Below are 22,407 nucleotides of genomic sequence, written 5' to 3' on the forward strand. Positions count from 1 at the left end.
CATTTCAAAATTAAAAGTTTTAAAAAAATTATTATAAAAAGATGCATTTTATTAAGAAAAATGGCAAAATGTAAAGAGAAAAACATTTAGTTTTTATCTTTAAAATCATCACTTTATCTTTAAATATTTTTTTAATTATCATTTTTTATCTTTTTTTTTTTTTTTTTTTGAGGCAGAGTCTCACTGTGTTGCCCAGACTGGAGTGCAGTGGTGTGATCTTGGTTCACTGCAGCCTCCACCTCCCTGGTTCAAGCAATTATCCTGCCTCAGCCTCCCGAGTAGTTGGGATTATAGGCACACACTGCCATGCCTGGCTAACTTTTCTGTATTTTGAGTAGAGACAGGGTTTCACCCTGTTGCCCAGGCTGGTCCCAAACTCCTGAGCTCAGGCAATCTGCCCATCTCTGCCTCTCAAAGTGCTAGGATTTCAGACATGTGCCTGGCCCATTTTATTATATATTTTTTTGAGACAGAGTCTCACTCTGTCACCCAAGCTGGAGTACAGTGGTGTGATCTCAGCTCACTGCAACTTCCACCTCCCGGGTTCAAGCAATTCTCCTGCCTCAGCCTCCTGAGTAGCTGGGATTACAGGCATCCACCACCAAGCCCAGCCACTTTTTGTATTTTTAGTAGAGGCAGGGTTTTACCATGTTGGCCAGGCTGGTCTCAAACTCCTGACCTCAGGTGATCTGCCCGCCTCGGCCTCCCAAAGTGCTGGGATTACAGGCGTGAGCTACCTCGCCCAGTCTACCATTTTAATATAATCATTTAATTTAATCATTTTATCATTTTAATTATATTTATTTTATCTTTAAAATTATTTTATGATTTTATCTTTAAAATAATAATATCATCCGAGCTGTGATCATCGCCCCCATTCCCTTTATTCTCCCAAAAGGTAACCAATGTTTAAAAGTTGACAATGGATTCTTCCATGTATAAAAATGTGTATATTTAGACTAAAGCTGTTGGCATTCTATGGAGCACCCATTTTCTTCATCTGTTGACTCTTGAGATTCTCCCGTCAGCAGCCGTGTGCTGGCCTGTAGCATTTGTGGATGACCGTGGTGTAAATGCTCCTGCCGTGGCTGGTTGTCAAAGCTGGTGGGGTGTCACGACGTGGGGCTGCGAGGAGGGAATGTGAAGGAGCCTGGCACAGTCGGCTCTCAGCACTGGCATTATCCCCGCTGTGGAACAAATGGGGAAACCTGAGCCAGTCGGCCAGAAAGCAGGAGGGCGTGGCTTGAGCCCAGGCCTGTCTTGTTTCTGTCCACTGCACCTCCCTGCCCCTGCCAACCCATGAGAGGGAGATCGGCACAGCCGAGCCAGGAGACATGGGCATTTGAGAGGGCCAGGCCATGTCGGGTACCCCTGGAAGCAACGATTGGGGGTCAGCCTGAGCTGCCCTCCAGCAGAGCCTGAGAGGGTAGGTGTGGGCGTGGGATGTCCCGACCGTTCAGGATGGGCTTGAAATCAGGAAAGGTTGGGCTCACTGAGTCATCCTAGAAAATCCATCATGGCTTGGCGCCTGGGTGCCACACAGGGGCTCCCTGGAAGGGCCAAATGCTGGTAAACAGAAGCCATCCCAGCAAATGGGCAGGGCAGTTATTTTTCTTGAAAGCACCATGAGCTGTTGTGGCCATTTCAAAAAGTTCAGCCAACTCCTTCAATGCTCAGGGTCACCTGGAGCTTTTGCTTTCCCAAAACAGCAACTGGCGCAGATCGAGATGGACCTGAAGTCCCGAACGGCCGCCTACAACACTCTGAAGACAAACCTGGAGAACCTGGAAAAGAAATCCATGTGTGTATTTGCCAGCCTCCACATCTGGCGGGGGCAGGTCCTGGCGGGGGCTTAGCGCTTGCCTGTCCTCTCACTGGGCCACCTGGGAGTCTGTGCCCATGCATGAGAGTGAGACAGACAGACAGGTGGAGGCACTCTCACCTCTCCAAGAGCCGCGTGCTGGGAGAGGAGGAAAGGGCCAGGTGAGGGTGATCACACCCCGTGCATGTGCCCAGGGAAGAGGATGTGGCCATGCTGCTCCTCACCGCACGCTTCCATCTCCCAGCTTCTCCAGGGCGCCTGGGTGCTGCCCCCAGTCCTCCCCTGTGGAGGCTGCACGGAGGGCCCCCAGGGGTGACGGGAGGCCAGGATGTCAGCGCACGGCCCGTTGCAAAGCGCAGCAGGGTGGTGGGCTCTGTGGCCCAGAGCAGAGCAGCCTCAGGGACTCAGGTGCCTTCTCCACCCACCTGAAGAACCACTGTGTGGGAGAGGGAGCAGGCTCCACAGACAGAACAGTCACCAGGATGGTGGAGATGCCAGAGAAAAGTGTAAGCTCAGCAACACCGTGGCAGGGACTGTCTTGTGAGGTGTAGTGAGTGTCCTGTTGTTGGAGGTGTGTAAGAGAAGCCAGGTGGCCAGGCTGGTGGCTCATGCCTGTAATCCCAGCACTTTGGGAGGCTGAGGCGGGCGGATTACGTGAGGCCAAAAGTTTGAGACCAGTCTGGCCAACATGGTGAAACCCCGTCCCTACTAAAAATACAAAAATTAGCTGGGCATGGTGGCATGCATCTGTACTTCTAGCTACTTGGGAGGCTGAGGCACGAGGATCACTTGAACCTGGCAGACAGAGGTTGCAGTGAGCTGAGATCGCCACTGCACTCCAGCCTGGGCATACAGTAAGACTCTGCCTCAAAAACAAACAAACAAACAAAAAAAACAGGGAGAGAGAGAAGCCAGGTGAGCTCCTGCTGGAGAGGCTGCTCCTGAACAGGGTGGGGTGGGGTTGGCATGGAGGAGCAGCCCAGTCCCCCCAGACTCTGGATCTGATGCTGTTGGCGGTTCTTTGAGAACCCTGGTCAATTGTAGAGTTTTCAATATAATACCTACACTTGGCCCCTAACTCCAGAGAAGGGAAGTGGCGCAGGGAGCCCCGAACCAGCTGCCCTCCCCCTGATTGGCCCACTACTGTAAGCAAAGAGAATGTTACCTGGGAGGTACCCCCACTTCTGCAATCCACTTCTGAGGGTCACTGGGCCAGCTGTCTTCCTGTGAAAAAAGCAAATGGTACATTAGTGGAAGGAAAATTAAAAACCATAGATGGTTTTTAGGCCAGGCATGGTGGCTCATGCCTGTAGTCCCAGCACTTTGGGAGGCTGAGGCAGGTGGATCACCTGAGGCCAGGAGTTTGAGAACAGCCTGACCAACATAGAGGAACCTTGTCTCTACTAAAAATACAAAATTAGCCGTGCGTCATGGTGCGTGCCTGTAATCCCAGCTACTCGGGAGGCTGAGGCAGGAGAATCGCTTGAACCCGGGAGGAGGAGGTTGCAGTGAGCCGAGATCACGCCACTGCACTCCAGCCTGGGCAACAAGAGTGAAACTCCATCTCAAACAAAAAAGCCCACTTCAACTGGAAACCCTTGCTGTTGGATGCCTGGCTTTATGTCAGAAGTAAGTGGGCATGAGCTATGGAGGATGGGACAGGGGCCGGGCGCCGGGGCAGAGAGCCCTAAGGGGATGGGTCATCTGTCCGTCCTGGCTTAGAGCCCACAGGCCATGGGGCCATCCACTCGCATGGCATCACCCTGAGATGGATTTCTTCAGGATTGGTTGGGACTTGTGCAAACATCTGGTCTAGCCTCTTCGCTCAACTGGTGAGGTTCATTCATCCATTGATCATCATTGATTCGCAGTGACTTTAATTGATTTACTAAGTGCATATACCAAGTATAGGAGGGCGGCGTACAAAGAGGGATGAACGTTTCTAACTCCCTCCTCTGCGCTCTCTTTTCTTCTTTGTACACAAACCAAGTATGCACTGTGCCCTCAGGCCCGATGCTAGACCCTAAAGATATAAAGCAGAATACAATACAATTTTTGCACTTGCAGAGCTCACAGTTATTCATTCAACAAACGTGTGGAAAGTTGGCTTCGTGTTGGGGATTCAGAGGTGAGCCAGGGAGAGAGGTGGGATAGTGTAAGGGTAACGTGTTCAGTGCTAGGACAGGGAGGCTCATGCATGCGGTGCCCAGGGAGAAGGAACCTAAGGGCTTTATCCATGGCCACGCAGCTGGTCAGTGATGTTCAGGCAGGGGACAGCAAAGAAGCCACGCAGGCTCCCTGAGGAGGGTGTTTCCCATTGCCTTTAAAGCTTTGGCCATGGCTCAACGCTGGAGAGCGATTTCCCGGGGAAGCACTGTGTGCCGACGTCACGGCCCCTGTGCTGATGCCACATACAGCCTGGGTAGTGAGATCTTGGCCCATTTACTGATCCGACAGCCTTGATCCATGTGCCAATAATACCATACCCTACACTCAGACCAGGTCCACTGGGCATGTAGAAAGCATTTCAGGTGAGTGTCCCCTGGGTGCTGGGCTGGGAGGCCTGTAAAGTGACACGGAGCTCTATCGAGGACGGCTCAACGCAGCCCTAAGAGCTGGCCGTTGTGTTGACACTTGAGTAACTTTAGCTGCCTGCCACCCGAGGCCCCCTCCCATAGCAGCCGGAGCTGGCACCAGGGCAGCGCAGGTCACTGAGGTGTTGGATTCGGCAGCCCCTTGGGTGACGGGTGATAGCACCCGAGGCCCTGCCAGCCTCCCTGTCCCTGGAGGGGAGGAGGCAGCAGCTGTGGCCCCAGCACAGAGCCTGGCCCTGGGGTTGTGGGGAGCAATCATTGCTGAGAATTGCTGTGTTCTCCTAGGCTCCAGCATCCCTGGCACCCACCCTTCCTTGAGAACTGCCCCCAGTGCCCGGGTGTGGGTGTGTGTGGGGTCACTGTGTCCCTTTCTGCTCACATCTTTCACACCCTTTGTTCCACCTGCCTTTTAGGGGGAACCTCTTCACCCGGACACTGAGTGATATTGTGAGCAAAGAGGACTTCGTGCTGGATTCTGAATATCTCGTCACACTTCTGGTCATCGTCCCCAAGTGAGTGCTGGGCGATCACGAAGGAAACCGGCCCTGCCCAGTGGAGAGGAAGGTGGACCCGTTGGTGACTTGGGCAGTGTGGACGAGGATGCTCCCTGCCCAGCCCCAGTTCTCGGGAAGCAGTCATTCCTTCATGGGGCCCTGCCTGCGGCTGTCAGTAGGGACAGTGGTTGGGTGATGGTGGTTGTGGCCACGATAGAAGCAGCCATTTATTGAGCACTTGCTATATACCCAATGTGTGGTCGACATTATTTTATTTCATCCTCACCAAAGGCCTGGGAAGTCTGGTGATTCCCATTGTCCTGAGGCTGGAGAGGTCGGTTAGCTTGTCCAAGGTCACACGGGGCCCGGATTAGATGGTTATTAGCGAGCCCCAAGTGTATCCATAGCTCTTCACAAAGGGACTTCTGTGGGTACCCTGTGGAGGCTGGGCAGGGGATTCCCCATGGGAACAGCAGACCTCAGGGGAGGTGAGGGCTCCCTCTGACCCCATCCCTGCTCACCTTCAGGCCTTCAGGAAAAGGGGTGTGCAGCTTCCTAGGCACTCAGGACACCCACGAGCCTTTTCTGCAAAAAATCACGTAACGATTCTATGTTCTTGCAGACCAAACTACTCACAATGGCAAAAAACCTACGAATCTCTCTCAGACATGGTGGTCCCTCGATCAACCAAGTAAGTGAGACCCCAGCTTGGTCCCAGGGCCCCTGGGGTACATGTGTGGGTGCTTCAGGGCACCCAACCACCAAACATGCCCCGAGGGTGTGAGGCTCCCCAGCTTTCCACACCTGGGCCCTCTCCTGTCCCTTGGCCTGGAATTCTGTCAGGGTCGCCCACCTTGTCACATGCCAGAGTGCCTTCCTCTTTCAAAACTTCACTTCCCTGCCCCTGCCCTGGGAAGGCTGCCCTGGCCCCACCTGGCCGAGCAGCCTCTCCACGCCGTTGCCTCTGCTGCATTCTGGCTCTGTGTTCTCGGCTCAGCGTCAATTCTTCCCTGCCAGAGGGGGAAGCCAGCCCTGGCCTAAGTGGCTGCCCAGTGAACGGCCACAGCGGGAGCCGGGAGGGAAAGCGGCCTCAGCGTGTGGCCTGCAGGGGCCAGAGCAGCAGTAGCCAGTGGGTCCTGTCACAGTGACAGGAGGAGAGCGGGTTACAGACTGTCCATCACGGGACACTGCATGGCGGGGGAACCAAGGATGCCAGGCCCTGTGTGTCAGGAGGGATGAAGGGGAAAGGCAGCTGCAGAGGAGCAGAGGGTCTGAAATGGATGTGAAATGGGCGTGACTCGGGCACACACAGGTGCACAAGGAATTGTGGGGATGGGTCACGGGCAGGAAGGCCACACTCAGGATGGTAGTGGCTCAGGATGGAGTGAGTGGCACATAGTGGGGTAGGGGCATGTGGGCTTTCACCTGCTGGAACTTTGGTTTTGGGTGGCTGATCCAAAGCTGCGCGTTTTCCTTTTTTTGAGATGGAGTCTCACTCTGTTGCCCAGGCTGGAGTGCAGTGGCCCGAGCTCAGCTCACTGCAACCTCCGCCTTCCGGGTTTAAGCAACTCTTCTACCTCAGCCTCTCAAGTAGCTGGGATTATAGGCGTGCACCAACACGGCCAGCTAATTTTTGTATTTTTGGTAGAGATGGGGTTTCACTGTGTTGGCCAGGCTGGTCTCGAACTCCTGACCTCAGGTGATCCGCCTGCCTCAGCCTCCCAAAGTGCTAGGATTACACGTGTGAGCCACCACACCCAGCTTGGTACTCATTTTCCTCTGTACCTTTTTGTATGGCCGAGAAGGTTTGTAATTTGAAGAGGTTTTAGAATGCGCGTCAGGCAGCCAGCCTGTTCATCTGACTCCCCACACACAGAACTCCCGGTGCAAGGCCTCTGCCCTGGGGCCCCTGCTGGGGGACGGGGATCTCCCAGGGCTACGAGATGGCAATCGGGATCTAAATTGAAGGGTGCAAGGAACAGGACAATCACAGCCCGAGGTTACAGGGGAGGCAGGGAAGAGGAGCAAGGCTCTGGAGCAGAGGAGCTGGCCCTTGAAGCCAGTGTGCTGGCAGGAGCATTCACTGCTCTTAAAGGCCAAGAGCCGGGGATCCTTGACAGGGCCGGCTGCCTTGGTAGGTGGCCTGGCCTCCCAGACCAGAGCCTCAGGCCCTTCATTGTCACAGGCCACCTGAAAGCCTGCACAGATGACTCTGGAAATACCTGGAGTCTGGCGGCAGCCCCTATGGGCATGGGCTCTGAGAAACAGGAAGGGTGACCCTGCCAGCATGCCAGCATGCTGTGAGATCGTGTCTGGGCCTGAGGGCTCCCACTTCCAGTCTTCTGGCCAATAGGACTCAGAGATGCTTAGACTCCTGGCCCCAAGAATTCCTGAGTTGCTAGAGACAGTGGCCCCAGTGGTCCTGTGTTGAGACTTGCTTGGGAGGCTGTGTCCCATTAGGACTTTGTGATATTGGAAGTGAAATGGACCTTGTAGGATAGTTTCCACCACTCTGCTTTACTATCAGGCAGCACGTCAGAGCCAGGGACACCCTGTGCCAGCTGTGGTGACGGAGGCCCAGGAGGGCTTGGTCTCTCAGGAATTTGATAAGCGGGAGCTAAAGCCCAGGCCCCTACACTCCCTGCACCCCGAGGCCCCCTGAGGCCTTAGCCTGGAGGGGTGTGGAAGGGGCAGGAGGGAAGGGCAGGCAGCCAGGAGTTAGGAAATCTCAGGGAGTGTCCTTGGTTCCCCAGCCCTCAGCTGCTGCCATGGACCCCAGGTGCAGGCCACCAGGCCCGGGGCCTCTGAGCCCCACTCCCGCACAAGGCCTAGCAGTGAGTCCAGCCAACAGATGCTTCTCTCCAACAGACTCATTACTGAGGACAAGGAAGGGGGCCTTTTCACTGTGACTCTGTTTCGAAAAGTGATTGAAGATTTCAAAACCAAGGCCAAAGAAAACAAGTAAGGGTCCTCCAGGTTTGGTTCATCTCCCGCTGCGGGGGGTCTCTGCCCCTCTGGAAAGCTTCTGAGTGAAAACCCATGATTTGCTTGTTTTAAGGTTCACTGTTCGTGAATTTTACTATGATGAGAAGGAAATTGAAAGGGAAAGGGAGGAGATGGCCAGATTGCTGTCTGATAAGAAGCAACAGTATGTGAGTATGTGATTGAGCAGCTCCTCCCGCCCCTACCCGGAGGCCTGGGGATAGAAGAGTCCTCCCAGGTCTCCAGCTCTCCCTCCTCCCTCTCATTGTCCCCAGGCTCCTGGGCTCACACCATGGGGACCGTCTGTTCTCATGGGACGCCTGAGCAGGGTCTGGGGGGAGGGGCGGTGAGCACAAAGGAGCCCAGGCGGTGGAGCTGGGGGCGGGAGCCGGGGGCCCACCCAAGCTGGCGCTTTCCACATGTGTTCTCACTGGTCCTGAGCACCGCCCTGCCAGGAAGGGGTTGCTAGCTCCACAGTATGGAGAAACTGAGGCTCTGAGAGGCAAGCTGGCCAGAGGACCCTGCCAGGCCTTCCTTGGACTGAGCAAGGCACGTGGGCTCCAGGCGGGAGCATCTGTGTGCAGGGTGGGCAGTGCTGGGCCTTGGAGATTGCAGCCGTGAGGTTTCCAGGGCGCCACTAGCCCCTGTATTTACCTCCCGTGTCCTTAGTGCGGAGAGGGTGCTTATCTGGAGACTTCCGACCACAGCCACTCAGAAACCCTTCACGGAGGAGGACAGCGTAGCTCACCAGGGAGCAAAACTAGATGCTCACGTTTGAATTGTGAGCAGGAGAGCTTTGGGAAGGTCCCTCCACCGCTCCGGGAAGTGGGCACCTTCCATACTCAGGTTCTCCTGCTGCGATGCTGGGCTAGGCTGGGCAACTTGGAAGGAGCCTGTCTGGGTGGAATGTTTTTGGGACCCTTCTTCCTCATGCCCACCAGGGAGGGTTCCGTGAGCACCTTCCAGTCCAGCCTCTAGTGACAGGGCAGGAGGAATGAGTAGAAAGTTCTTGAGGCCTTTGGGGGAAAGTCACTGTGTGAACACAGCACTGTGAGGACTCCCATGGGGAGGAGCGCCGTGGCCGCGGGCAGGCTGGGAGTGCTCCCAGTGTCCGTGCTGCCAAGTGTGTGCTCCGGGCTCCTGGGGACCTGGCCTGTCTGTCAGCGACCTTTTTGCAGGGACTGGGGATGAGCAGCCACCCCGTCACAAGCGAGCCCAGCCACGGAGCCCCCGTAGTGGGGTTCTCGGAGCCCCTCTGGTCTGGTCTGTTTCCCTTTAGGGAGGAAACAACAGCTGATAATATACAAGTTTATATAGGGGGTTTTTCACCCTCCTCCTCCGAAATAGCACAGGGCGCTCACACACGTGTGTGTGTGTGTGCGCGCGCACGTGCATGTATGAGTGTGTGTGTGGACCTGTGTGTGCACAGCAAGTGAGACACACCTCAGAGCCAGACGCTGCTGGGCTCCGGCTGAGCCTGCGGGGAGGGTGTCGCCTCCTGAGGACGAGGAGCCGAGCTGGAGCTGGGGACCCCCAGCCCTTTGGATGCTCCAGTCTTCAGAGCAGGGCCCACAGACCCAGACACCAGGCAGGAAAGATTTTCCCCAGTGAAAGCTGAGCTCCAAAGTGTTTTCTTCCTTAGGCTCAGCTCACCTGAAACCCTCGCTACCTGGGCACGCCCTGGCTGTTCTCTTCAGCCAGGCTTTTTCCCAGCTCGATTCAGTCCTGGTCCCAACCCCCTGCGCAGTATCTCTGGACGGGGCTAGACCGTGGCAGCCTCCACACCAGGGAGGCCCTGCTGGGGGACAGGTGGCGAAGCAGGGCCTTTGGCACCCACCTGGGCACTGGCCCAGGCCTGCCAGACCCCCGGGGAACAGGGTGACACACAGGAGCCTGCCGCCTGCCACGTGGGGCTCAGGTTGCCAGCTGGCGTATTTTACATGGCGTAGCCTTCGCCCACACCACCCTGGGGGCCCTGCCAGGGTCTCTCTGTGGGCGGGAGGTGGAGGCACTCTCAGCTTGGGTAGTCCCACTGGCCTCCTGAGAATCTGGCCCCCTCTGGCCTATCTAGAAGTGCATGACCAAACGTCTTGCATCCTTTTTGTCACTCATCAACCAGAGGGACAGACCAGGCCCTGGGGTTTGAGTGTACTTTGAGAGCAGAGTGGGATGTCCCTGTGTTTCCCACCTGTTTGCAGAGACAGAATGGGAAAGGGTGAGTGTCCTAACTGCATGCCCAACTCATCTCCTGCACTCTGCATGCCGAGGTGCCCCCCGAATGCCAGGAAGGCATCTGTGGCTGGGCATGGTGGAGCCACCTTGACAGAGCGCAGAGAGCCGTTTCCACTAACGCCTCCCGGTGCTGTCCTGGTCGGCCTGCGATGGGGGTCCTGGCTGAGCCCAAGCAAGGGGAGGGAGCTCAGGGCTGACCCCTCTGCCAGAGATCGGCTCTGTGCTTGGAATATGGAACCCAAAGACCTTAACACTGCCCTTCTCTCTGCCTTCACCACTCCAGGAGCCCGGTGGGCACCTACCACATCTCTAGTCTAGCCAGCACGCGAGTCCCGAGGGTGGGCCTGAATTCCTGAGCTTGCTCTCGCGTGCCTTTCAGGCGATGAGAATGATTTATTTGTTTGTGATGCATGTTTGCTGAAAGATTAATAAATCATTTCTGTGCCTTTAGCAAACTTCCTGTGTTGCTCTTAAAAAGGGATCATCCACCTTCCCGGACCACAAGGTTAAGGTAACCCCGCTAGGTAACCCTGATAGGCCTGCTGCGGGGCAGACCGACAGAGAGAGAGAGAGTGAGGGCGAGGGTGAGGTAAGCAACGCCCCGGGAACCCCGGGGTCCCTGGCTCACATCTCCTCGCCAGCTCAGGCGCCTTCTGGGAAAATGAATCCTTGCATTTTTCTGTTCTCTAATATGGCTTTTGAGGTCTTAAATTTGAGGAGCCGGAATCATGCCTTCCTCCTAATCTGCAGGGCCTCTTTGGAGCTGCCCCCGCCAGCAGTGAAGGGTGCTTGTCGGCCAGGGCGCCTCTCCCCGGGCGCCTGGCTGGAGGTGGCTGGAGCTGGGACGGGCAGGGCCCTGGCTGGGGTGGTGGTTGGCAGCTCAGCTCTCCTCCCTTGGCTGCCCTTGCTGAACCCACCCCTGACCTTTGTGGGCAGCTGCAGTGTCAGGCGGGAGCTCGGGGCTCTTGCTCCAAGACTCTTGAGCTCCCAGGAAGACCTGCCACACCGGCATCAGTGGCTGCTGCTGTGGCCACGTGAGGTGGGGCTGTGAGGGGAGGCGGCTGCTGTGGATGATGCCAGGACCCTGGGGGCAGAGCCTCTGAGAAGGTGGGCTCCCTGGCTGCACAGTGTCAGGCAGAAGCCCCTGGCTGCCTGCTGAAAGCCCCAAGGTCAGGGGCTGCCCAGCTCCCCGCGCTGCGGTCTGTGGTGGCCCCGTGCATGCACCGGGTGGCTGGCCCGCTGAGCTTCCCCGGCACCAGGTGCCCTGGACCTCGAGGTCCTGAGCCTGACCCAGGGCTGGTCTGACCGACTCTCTGCTTCTGGCTCCTGGGCACTTCTTCTCAGCTCAGGGCGTGCTCTGTCAAAACCCAAGTCCTTTCTTGGCTCTGTGTCAGGCGGGGTGTTCAGCAGGGGTCACCTGGCTCTTCTGTCTTTGCAGGGCCCCCTGCTGCGCTGGCTCAAGGTGAACTTCAGTGAAGCCTTCATTGCCTGGATCCACATCAAGGCCCTGAGAGTGTTTGTGGAGTCCGTGCTCAGGTGCGTGGCAGTGATGCCCCGGCTGGGACTGTCCTGAGGATGGGCAGGGTCTGGGGGAGCTATCGGGGCACCCCAGCTCCTGCCTTCTCTCCATCCTCCACCCGTCTCCTTTCTGAGACTGTGGCTGTTGGCAACACGCTCAATTCCGAGTCAAGTACACCCTCCCCTCAGCCCTGTGTCCCCTGCTGTCTGCTCCCTCCGTTCCTGCTACACTTGGGGCAAGTGTCACCTGGGTTCTCCCCAGCTGCCCTACCTGCATGCCCTTGTGGACCCTCTGGCTGGCTCCTGTCCCCACCCTCGTGAAGCCCGCAGGGCCCGAGTGGCTCCTGGAAGGCGCTCTCGGGCTGCCTCCGTCCTCAGCCTGGAAGCCGCACCCCTCAAGGCAGTCCAGAGAGAAAACCAAAACCACACCAACAACAACAAAGCTTATTTTGCCTTTTTTTTTTTTATTTGAGATGGAGTTTCACTCTTGTCGCCCAGGCTAGAGTGCAATGGCATGTTCCTGGCTCACTGAAACCTCCACCTCTCAGGTTCAAGAGATTCTCCTGTCTCAGCCTCCCTAGTAGCTGGGATGACAGGTGCCCGCCACCACGCCCGGCTAATTTTTTTATATTTTTAGTAGAGGCGGGGTTTCACCATGTTGGTCAGGATGGTCTTGAGCTCCTCCTAACCTCAGATGATCCGCCCACCTTGGCCTCCCAAATGTTGGGATTACAGGCGCGAGCCACCATGCCCGGCCTTTGCCTAATAAAAAAAAAAATATATATATATATGTATGTATATATATATATATATGCCCTTGTCATGGACTGTCGAGACCAGCCTGGCCAACATGGTGAAACCCCACCTCTACTAAAAATACAAAAATTAGCCGGGTGTGGTGGCATGGGCCTGTAGTACTGGCTACTTGGGAGGCTGAGGTGGGAGGATCACTTGAGCCTCGGAGCCGGAGGTTGCAGTGAGCCGAGATCGCGTCACTGCACTCGAGCCTGGGCAACAAGAGAAACTCCGGCTATAGAAAAAAAAAAAAAAAAAAAACTTCACTGTGGGAAACCTGGCAACTCTAGGTAAGCAGAGTGAGTAAAAATCTCCTGTAATTTTAATTTTAACACCAGGAGAGAACACTGCCAGCGTCCCAGTGGGTGCCCTTTTAGGTGTAGGTTTTGTTGTTTTTTTATGAATAGATACGTAATTCTTACAGATTTTTATGAAAGTGGAATCAGAGGAAACGCCTTCGAAGGCCGCTTTTCTGCCCTGTGTGGCTGCGTCCCGCGTCACGGAGCACTGCGCACCGCCTGCCGCTCTGACTCGCGGCCTCCTGGGCTCCTCCAGCCCCTGAGACCCTCTGTGTGACCTTCCGGACCCCTTCCCCGCCTGCACTGAGGAGCTCCTCATCCCTCCCTGCCGTCCCCCTGGCTGATGTCCCCTACTTTCCCTCGTTTTCCTGCCCATGTTCCCTGGTTTCCAGGTCCTGCCATCTGCCTGCCGTAGGCTTTACCTGGGTATCTGTCTCATCTCCCCTCCCGCACCCCTTCCTCTGCTTCCCTGTTTCTGCCAGTGGCCTCCTCATCCTTCCCCTTATCAGACCCCAAACTTCAGGGTCAGTTTAGACACCCCTGACAGGCCCGGTCCACTCCGCCTTTGCACTCTCTCTTTCACGGGTCTGGCCCCACCGGCCTGGCTGTTGCCATAAGCCTCCTCTCTGTTCTTGGCCTCCAATTCCCCTTCCATGTGGCTGTCAGTGTGTGGTCTGCCCAGATACAGATCTGACCTTGGTTCCTGGTTCTTCTGCCCTGCACATGCACCGCACCCACACCTGTACCCATGCGCACCTGTGCACGCCCATCTCAAAAGCCTGTACCGACACGGATGGCAGCATTGGGTTGGAGGGTGTACCCAGCTCCTGGGAGTGTTCTAGCCATCTCTAATATACATGGCCCCAGATCAACCCTGCCCGGCTCAGAAGTCGGTTGCTCTCAGGCCTAACGGCCTAACACAGTGAAGCCTGTCCATGCCTTCCAGGATGCGCATCTGCCCAAGAAAGAGGTTGAGACCGATGGGCCAGCCGCTCCTGGGGTCCTTTTTTTTTTTTTTGAGATGGACTCTTGCTGTCGCCTAGGCTGGAGTGCAGTGGCACAATCTCAGCTCACTGCGACCTCCACCTCCCAGGTTCAAGCAATTCTCCTGCCTCAGCCTCCCCTAGTAGCTGGGATTACAGGCGTGCACCACCACGCCCAGCTAATTTTTGTAATTTTAGTAGCGACGGGGTTTCACCACGTTGGCCAGGCTGGTCTTGAACTCCTGACCTCAGGTGATCCAGCCTGCCTTGGCCCCCCAAAGTGCTGGGATTACAGGTGTGAGCCACTGCACCCGGCATGGTGTCTTGTTCTGGGCAGAATGGAGAAGGCATTATTAGCAGGACGGGTGCCACAGAGACAGGACAGGGCCGGAAGAACTCAGAGGCTGAGGAAAGGTTAAGGGCTGGAGCGTATGTCCCTTAAGGACCTAGGGTGCCTACCACCCACCACAGCGAGCACAACAGAGGCAGGCCTCTCCCTCAAGCCAGGCTGCTGGGGGAGGAGCGCCTTAAGCTTTAAGGACGTGTCCTAGATGAATAAACAACCTCCAGTGCAAGTTGGTAATGACTGTGGTGGAATTAGCCTGGCGTGGTGGTGGCGGGCGCCTGTAATCCCAGCTACTTGGGAGGCTGAGGCAGGAGAATCGGTTGAACCCAGGAAGTGGAGGCTGCAGTGAGCCGAGATCGCACCATTGCACTCCAGCCTGCGTGACAGAGCGAGATTCTGTCTCAAAAAAAAAAATAGATAAATAAAACCTTAGTAATATTAATAGGTCCTGCTCCCAGGACTTATCTTTATGGCAGCCCCGTCTGCACAGAGTACTAGGTGAGTGGAAGGGCGTGTAAAAACAGACTTCACATCAAGGCCTGGGGATCCCGAGGGAACATAGGTGCTAACTACTGAACATCCGATCCTTTGCTCCCTCAGAGTATAAAAATACATCAACAATCACAAAATGTTTTCCATTTACAGCACTTGCTATATTTTGTGTGGGCTAACACCCCAGGAATAGCTCATCCCAACAACTGGTTTTAAACATGCTCAGGCATACAACTAGGTATGTTAAAAATGTTTTCTATCTACCCAAAAACTCAGCGAAAATAGTAACAATCTTGATAAACCAGATTTTTGCCTCTCCTTTAGTGGAGAAAAACGGCCGAGCTGGGTTTTAGACAAACGCCTTGGAGTCCGAATGTTCAGTCCAACTACCTGCATTCAACTTGAGCATGCACCGTGGAATGGCCATTCATGGCCAGAGGGATGACCTCTTTTGCTCTATAGTTGAAAACTAGCTATCAGAAGGGGGTTAGCAAATTCTAGAGCTTTTTCTATCCAGAGATCACCGCTGACCCTAGGCATTTTGCTCGAGTTTGACTTTATGAAGCTGTGTTGGTTGAAGCTTTTCACCCTCGGAATGTACTGTTTCTGGTCAGGTTCCTTCTATCCGTGTTTGCATTTGGAGCAGTGAACTGACACATTTTGTCTATCTGAAAAGGTATGGACTACCAGTGAACTTCCAGGCAGTGCTCCTGCAGCCGCATAAGAAGTCATCCACCAAGCGTTTAAGAGAGGTTCTAAACTCTGTCTTCCGACATCTGGATGAAGTAGCCGCTACAAGTATACTGGATGTAGGTATCCAGAAACAGCAGTATTTCTACAGTAAGCTCAGCATCTTACTTTCAAAAAACTGGTATCTGCCTGTAATCCCAACACTTTGGGAGGTAGGTGGATCACTTGAGGTCAAGGGTTTGAGACCAGCCTAGCCAACATGGTAAGACCCTGTCTCTACTAAAAAAAAAATTGGGCTGGGCATAGTGGCTCACGCCTGTAATCCCAGCACTTCAGGAGGCCAAGGCGGGTGGATCACGAAGTCAAGAGATGGAGACCAACCTGGCCAACATGGTGAAACCCTGTCTCTACTAAAAATACAAAAATTAGCTGGGTATGGTGGTGTGTGCCTGTAGTCTCAGCTACTTGGGAGGTTGAGGCAGGAGAATCGCTTGAACCTGGGAGGCGGAGGTTGCAGTGAGCTGAGATCACGCCACTACACTCCAGCCTGGCGACAGAACAAGACTCTGTCTCAAAAAAAAAAAAAAAAAAAAAAAAAAAAAAAAAATTTGCCAGGAGTGGTGGTGCATGCCTGTAATCCCAGCTACTTGGGAGTCTGAGGCAGGCAGTGAGCTGAGTCCAGCCTGGGTGACAGAAACTGTCTCAAAAACAAAACAAAGCAAAACTATCTGTCAGCCTGTTATGAAAATCTACATGTCATACACATTAAAGCACAGCAAGGAGAGGGTTGGAGGGGTGGACCACAGCTACGCAGAGCAGAACGTACGCTCAGTGCCTGGCGAGCTTCCTCAAAACTAAAAGGATAAGACAGGAAACTAGTTTATGCACTTAGAGCATTACCATGTCTTCTTTTGTAGGCATCTGTGGAGATCCCGGGACTGCAACTCAATAACCAAGACTATTTTCCTTATGTCTACTTCCATATTGACCTTAGTCTTCTTGACTAGAAAGGCCAGCTGGCACCTCTGTCTCATGTTCGTGCAGATTATTACAGACACCTCTTTCCTTTAGCCAGAGAATGGTTCAAATGTCTTACAGAACTAAGATCTTTTTCAGAGAAATTGCTCACAAAAGTTAGTGACAGTTGTATTTATTTTTTTAAGTTACAATAAAATGCTCTCAAGTCCTTTGAATGTTCCAACAAATTCAAAACTTCATTTTCTGAATGTTTTACATAAATGCGAACTACCTGTTCGCATTGGTAACCTGCTGCTGTATTTCATGTCTTAACGGCTATTTTGAGGTTCATTAACAACATAGAAAGCCTTGAACTGTATAACCAGCTAGATTCCTTAATAATTAGTCACTAGAGACAGCCCAAAGACAAATATTGGGCAGGAAATCAGTTCTCACTGAGCCCGGTTTCCATGTAAAATCTCTGTTGTGGTGGGCATAGGTGGCACCATCTAAAGAAAAGAGGTCTTGTTTTTTGTTTAAAAAAGTTTGTGGGGAGGAAAGACATCTGTGTATCACTTCAAAATATTGATTTACTGCTAAACATCACTCTGAATTTATGATGTGGATACTAACTTCATACATTTATCGGCATTGTCCAAAATATTTTATTCTTTAATGGAAAAAGCCATTAATATTCAAATGAAGGGATCACATTAAAAAAAACCCATACATAAGAAACAGCCTCCAAGAACATTCAAGCAGCAGTCAGAGAGAAAAATGTTTCGACAGCCAAGTTTTCTTCAAAATATTATGTGACAGAATACGACTCAATTCACCGGCTACAACAATTCATAGAATTTTTCAATGTTTTCTTGAGATGCAAAAGTTCACTGTTGCAGTGTTTTCAAATGACCAATCAAGTACTACTTCTTGGTTAAAAGGCCACTGGTAGAGTCATCTGAGTGTAGAGAATGTCCCTTCACTGCTGGAAAAATCCACTGGCTCCCAAGAAAAGAAAATGGTCTGAAGCCTCTGTTGTGGCTCTCACAACTCATCTTTCCCTAAGTCATCAAGCTCCACATCACTGAGGTCAATGTCATCCTCCACGGGAAGCTGGGAGACGACAGAAAGCCACTGTTAGATCTGCAGAAGGGGACACCCTGGAAGGTCAACATCTCATTTTATGGAAGAGCGACTCTCTGGAGCTACTCCTGCTACAATCCAGGTTCTCCTCAGTCTGACTCCTACCCTGACCTTCGTACCTATGATTATACGGATGGAAAAGCTCAGAACTCAGGTGAAACATTTCAACATCACATCACTCACCATTTTAACACTGGAAGCCACTTGAACGTGTCCTTTTGAGGAGGGTGGGACACAACAGTACAGAAATAAGTGCTAATTTCAAAGCTATCATTTTCTATTTTTCTAAGATAAAGTAAATGAATTCCAGGTTAAATGTTCACTTTAAGGTAATAATCAGGAAAGCAACCTTACTACTGAAATGTATCTTGGCTGTCAAGAGTATCAAATGCCATGCAGCACTTAAACTTGTGATAAGGAAGATGAAGGGTCTTCAGAGAAGAACCTCTTAAAAGGCCCACGGGTGCACCAGGGCTGAGGTCTGATGGGAAGGACTTGACTCCAGGTGCAGAGATGCACAGGCTCAAGAGAGTAAACCAGGACTGCTGCCCGCACAGCTTCCCTCCCGGGCACTCACCTCGCCATCCCTGCCGTCCCAAGGCTCTCTCTCAACGATGGTAGGGAAAGCCCCGCCTCCTACAGGTGCCGTGGAGCCACGCCCAAAAGAGAGCTCCCTTAGGGAAAAATGACCAAAACACACACACACATTTACAATGGACTGCTGGTGCAGAAGAATAAACAACTTTAAAAATAACAGTCTGCCTACTTTGTTTATGCAGAGGCATTTCTTCTCTCTTGCTGCACTACATTCCTCAGAAACACCTTGAGGACATTATCTTTTTAATCACGGACAACATTACAACCAGATTCAACATTCCCAACTAAGCCCCCTGCATCAGATAAAGTCAGTTGCTATCAGTAAGCTTTTAAAAATAGCAGAGCATTTGCTGAAATACAAATTAAATACATAAATAATTATCAAAGTTGATCTAGAACATGGGCTGCCTGCGAGCTTTCTAAGACTGCTGTGAACCTGTACAGAGGGAGCATATCAGAAGTGAGGCGACTGGTTCCAGTGCGCTGGCAGAGAGCGGGGTGCGTATGTGCATAAACATCAGTACTTGAAACATACCAGACCTGGTGTAATCTGGCTGTTGGGAAACCAGAGCCAGAAATACTGTGGGCACAAATATTTAGAGTTCACCAAACAACTCATAGAATAATAGAGCTAGACTAACAATCTATGGCACCAATGGGCTAGAATAAGCAAACCTATTATTAGAAAAAAAAATTACAGGAGATATATTCACATTCTGACTTCATGATTTAATAAATACTACTCTATGACAATCACAAACTTAAGCAGTCCACAAACTTCTTTTTCTTTGAGACCAAGTCACACTCTTTTGCCCAGGCTGGAGTGCAGTGGTGTGATCTCAGCTCACTGCAACGTCCACCTCCTGGGTGTGCCTCAGCCTCCCTAGTAGCTAGGACTGCAGGCCTACAACACCACACCTGGCCTATTTTTTGTATTTTTAGTAGACATAAGGTCTCACCGTGGTGGCCAGCCTGGTCTCGAACTCCTGGCCTCAAGTGATCCGCCTGCCTCAGACTCCCAAAGTGTTGGAATTACAGGCGTGAGCCACCGCACCCAGCCCCACAAACTTAATGAAAACACCCCCTTGGCCAGGCGTGGTGGCTCACACCTGTAATCCCAGCATTTTGGGAGGCTGAGGTGGGTGGATCACTTGAGGTCAGGGGTTTGAGACCCGCCTGGCCAACCTGGTGAAAACCCATCTCTACTAAAAATACAAAAATTAGCTGGGCGTGGTGGCAGGCGCCTGTAATCCCAGCTACTCAGGAGGCTGAGGCAGGAGAATCACTTGAACCCGGGAGGTGGAGGTTGCAGTGAGCCGAGATCGTGCCAGCCCGGACGACACAGCAAGACTCTGTCTCGGGGGTGGGGGGGAAAGAAAACACCCATTAACCATATTAACCAACTACAATGAGAGAGAGCTGGGAGGGAAGGAGCCACAGTCTGCCCCCCGCCGGCAGAGGCTGAAGCAGCTGATCTCACAGGGCTTCCTCCATGCCTCCCACTTCACTACTCAAGGCAGAGCTGTGACTGAGGCACCTGACTTTGGAGCCCCTACTCTCCACACAGCACACACACACGTCTCCACACAGCACACAAACTTCTGTGTCAAGTAGGAAGACTGGCAGCAAGAGCACTGCAGGCTTTCATGTACTGTTCTTCCTATTCATTATTCAACACAAGCCTCTCAACTACCTTTTGTGTGCTGAACATCTCTTATACAGCAGCTAAGAAATGAACGCGGAAGAAAGCAAGAATGGGAAATAAAACCTCTTTAGGTCAATGCCCTGTATTGCCTAAAAGATGATTAGGTGAGCTGAATAGCAGAGCAGAGTAGACAGCTCTGTATATTGGTTTTAGAACCTATCATGTTGTTTGCACATTGTTGGAGTAACTTAAGTACGCCCATTTTCAAATAAATAACTACATTCCAAAGCCAAGTGCCCAGAAATGGAAACCACATTTCCCCAAGGTCAAGATTACAATGCATATGAGGGTGAGGATGGACAGACAGGGCTGCCTCTAGCCCATATGAGACCTTTATGAGAATGAGAAAGAGCCCAGGGCCAGATGCACAGAATGGCACACAGGGCGGCCCGAGGGTAGCAATGCTTTCTCCTCATCCCGCAAGCAGAGTATTCCATGGAAAAAAGAACGAACAGGGAGACAATTTAAAAACTCTAATGTATAAACATTCAATTCTCTGGAATTAGTTTGCATTTTAAATTCCATTTATTACCTGGCTTATATATACCTAGTTCCAAATATAAACCTACAACAGAACCAAACAAACAGACAAAACAACAAACAACCTAAGAAAACAAATTACCTGAGAAACTCGTTGATGCCTTGCTCACTGAAGGAGCCTTTTAGCAGAGCAAATTTCATCTTGCGTGCATTGATGGCGGCCATGGCGGGGTACCCAAACCCTCCAATCCCCAACGCGGTCTCAAGTTCAGACTGGGCTCCAGCTTCTGTCCACAGCCACCTAGAAAACCAGACTGGTTTTTAGGGCAAATATGTCTTTTAAATTGCTTACGATCTAACTAGAAGATCTTAGAGAACAAAAGATCACGCTTCAGATATTTCGTAGAATGACAAATAAAAACAAAAGATGAGTTTCTATATGGATTTTCCCTTTTTACCTGAAATCCCACCAATATCATTTGGGTTATTAAGCATGTTCTCGCGTTCTGTAGGCATCTAATAAACATTTGCTGGACTAATGGAGGAGGAGCAAGGTCATCGAGAGAGGGACAACAGGGGGCGCTAGGTACCTGGGGAAAGCAATGGATACTGAGGACAAGAAGCAAAAAGATAAATAGGAAGGAGGCTGGGCACGGTGGCTCACGCCTGTGATCCCAGCACTTTGGGAGGCCAAGATAGGTGGATCACCTGAGGTCAGGAGTTCGAGACCAGCCTGACCAATATGGTGCAAACCCCATCTCTACTAAAATCACAAAAATTAGCCGGGCATGGTGGCGTGCGCCTGTAGTCCCAGCTACGCAGGAGGCTAAGGCAGGAGGATCTTTTGAACCCGGGAGGCGGAGGTTGCAGTAAGCCGAGATTGTGCCACTGCACTCCACCCTGGGCAAGAGAGTGAGACTCTGTCTCAAAAAAAAAAAAAAAGGATAAAATAGGAAAGAGATACACTGTTTTGAAAATGTGCCTAGATCCAGTCCTTAACTCAGAAGAGGAGAAGGAAACAATTCTATTTCCCCTTTCTCACCCAGCCTTCAAGTTCACAGTAGAATTCAGGTGCACTACTCCTTATGTGTCTGCCTGCTAACCTGGCACTCCAATCACCATGTAAAACATGATTCCTATGAGAAAAATGCATGCTGTGCTGACAGCCCTTCATTCCTTCTTTTCCTCCCATGATAAAGTTTTCACATCCTGAATAAAAACATATAGCAGAGCAGGCCGGGTGCGGTGGCTTACACCTGTAATCCCAGGACTTTGGGAGGTGGAGGCAGGTGGATCACTTGAGGTCAGGAGTTTTGAGACCAGCCTAGACAACATGGTGAAACCCTGACCCTACTAAAAATACAAAAATTAGCTGGGTGTGGTGGCGGGCGCCTATAATCCCAGCTACTTGGGAGGCTGAGGCAGGAGGGAAAAAAAAAAAAAACATATAGCAGAGCAAACATAGAACACAGCTTACAAAAACACGGGGGAACCACTCTCAAGAAAGCCTATAATCAGCTGTTCAGATGACACTCAGACAGTAAGCTCAGTAACTTACCCCCACATTTTCTTTTTGTATTTGTCTGCCAACTTCAGAAGAACTTCCAGATAAGAATTTCTGCCTGCAGCTCCTGATTTAAATAGACAAAGTTTTTTAAAGGTAAAGATAAAGGAGTCCATAAAATTAATCCATTTAGAAAGTATTCTCAGAGCATCTAGCATAGAACAGCTAAGGGAAATCATTTCCGTCTGTCTTACCAGTATCAAGGATATGGGGCAGCACAGCCACAACACAGAGCTGGTGCTCCTCACACGTCCTCTTGGCAATGTCCTCGTTGATAATCTGTGGGACCCAAAAGACAAGGGACAATCAGGAGGCTGCATGATACAACACCTAAAGGTAAGCTGGCAAACAAGACCTTCGCACCGTCACTTTCATTGAAAACATTTCTCCCACGACTACTTCCTCGTATGGAAACACCTGGAGGCATGTTCTCTAAGAGGAGATTTTTCTGCTACTGATTCTTAAGCCTGTGGAAGCTGTGGTGGTGGAGGTGGGGTGATTAGCACACATACAAACATCTCTGAAATCGCAATGCCTGGACACAGCCTGGCTCTGCCACTTACTTGTTTAAATAGATTATACTTACATGTATTATATGTCTTATATGTTTATACACACTTGAGGCTCTGTGCCTCAATTTCCCCATATATAAAATGGAGATTAAAAACAGTATCTACCTCTCAGTGTTCATGTGAGAATTAAATGAAAACAAAA

The 22,407-nt window shown here is 51.9% G+C and overlaps 2 protein-coding genes and 1 long non-coding RNA gene across 22 annotated transcripts in view, besides 1 other annotated feature; 1 reads left to right on the plus strand and 2 right to left on the minus strand.

Annotated features, from left to right (window-relative positions):
• Positions 1 to 18,101, plus strand: part of ATP6V1C2 (ATPase H+ transporting V1 subunit C2) — a 64,168-nt gene extending 46,067 nt beyond the window's left edge. For 3 of the 15 annotated variants that reach the window (XM_017003745.3, NM_001410707.1, NM_001039362.2), the window contains 9 exons: positions 1,710 to 1,801; positions 4,830 to 4,928; positions 5,533 to 5,601; positions 7,779 to 7,871; positions 7,969 to 8,062; positions 10,576 to 10,713; positions 11,563 to 11,660; positions 15,234 to 15,366; positions 16,165 to 18,101. In XM_017003745.3, coding sequence (XP_016859234.1) covers positions 1,710 to 1,801; positions 4,830 to 4,928; positions 5,533 to 5,601; positions 7,779 to 7,871; positions 7,969 to 8,062; positions 10,576 to 10,713; positions 11,563 to 11,660; positions 15,234 to 15,366; positions 16,165 to 16,254 — 906 coding nt within the window. In that variant the 3' untranslated portion in view covers positions 16,255 to 18,101. Of the gene's footprint in view, positions 1 to 1,677; positions 1,802 to 3,331; positions 3,951 to 4,829; positions 4,929 to 5,532; positions 5,602 to 7,663; positions 7,753 to 7,778; positions 7,872 to 7,968; positions 8,063 to 10,575; positions 11,661 to 15,233; positions 15,367 to 16,164 lie in introns of those variants that run through there. The other 12 variants (XM_047443860.1, XM_011510340.4, NM_144583.4 and 9 more) reach the window with 7 other exon arrangements.
• On the minus strand, positions 861 to 6,394 carry LOC105373428 (uncharacterized). The gene is made up of 3 exons (XR_922797.4): positions 5,432 to 6,394; positions 2,988 to 3,046; positions 861 to 1,784 (listed from the first exon to the last, which is right to left on the minus strand). It is a non-coding gene; the product is annotated as an uncharacterized LOC105373428 (long non-coding RNA).
• Positions 4,691 to 4,846: a silencer, noted in NCBI's record as "fragment chr2:10911826-10911981 (GRCh37/hg19 assembly coordinates)". NCBI's record gives its function as "represses an EF-1alpha promoter that drives an FKBP-Casp9 reporter gene in an ReSE screen in K562 erythroleukemia cells {active_cell/tissue: K562}" and the evidence as "EXISTENCE:reporter gene assay evidence [ECO:0000049][PMID:32094911]".
• The window catches only part of PDIA6 (protein disulfide isomerase family A member 6), a 54,322-nt gene continuing 48,296 nt past the window's right edge, over positions 16,382 to 22,407 (minus strand). For 5 of the 6 annotated variants that reach the window (NM_001282705.2, NM_001282706.2, NM_001282704.2 and 2 more), the window contains 5 exons: positions 21,888 to 21,972; positions 21,688 to 21,760; positions 20,272 to 20,430; positions 17,925 to 18,021; positions 16,382 to 17,317 (listed from right to left, as the gene is read on the minus strand). In NM_001282705.2, coding sequence (NP_001269634.1) covers positions 17,249 to 17,317; positions 17,925 to 18,021; positions 20,272 to 20,430; positions 21,688 to 21,760; positions 21,888 to 21,972 — 483 coding nt within the window. In that variant the 3' untranslated portion in view covers positions 16,382 to 17,248. The remainder of the gene's footprint in view (positions 17,318 to 17,924; positions 18,022 to 20,271; positions 20,431 to 21,687; positions 21,761 to 21,887; positions 21,973 to 22,407) is intronic. The other variant, XM_011510308.2, reaches the window with a different exon arrangement.

Source organism: Homo sapiens, chromosome 2, assembly GCF_000001405.40.
Source record: "Homo sapiens chromosome 2, GRCh38.p14 Primary Assembly".
Lineage (NCBI taxonomy): Eukaryota > Metazoa > Chordata > Mammalia > Primates > Hominidae > Homo > Homo sapiens.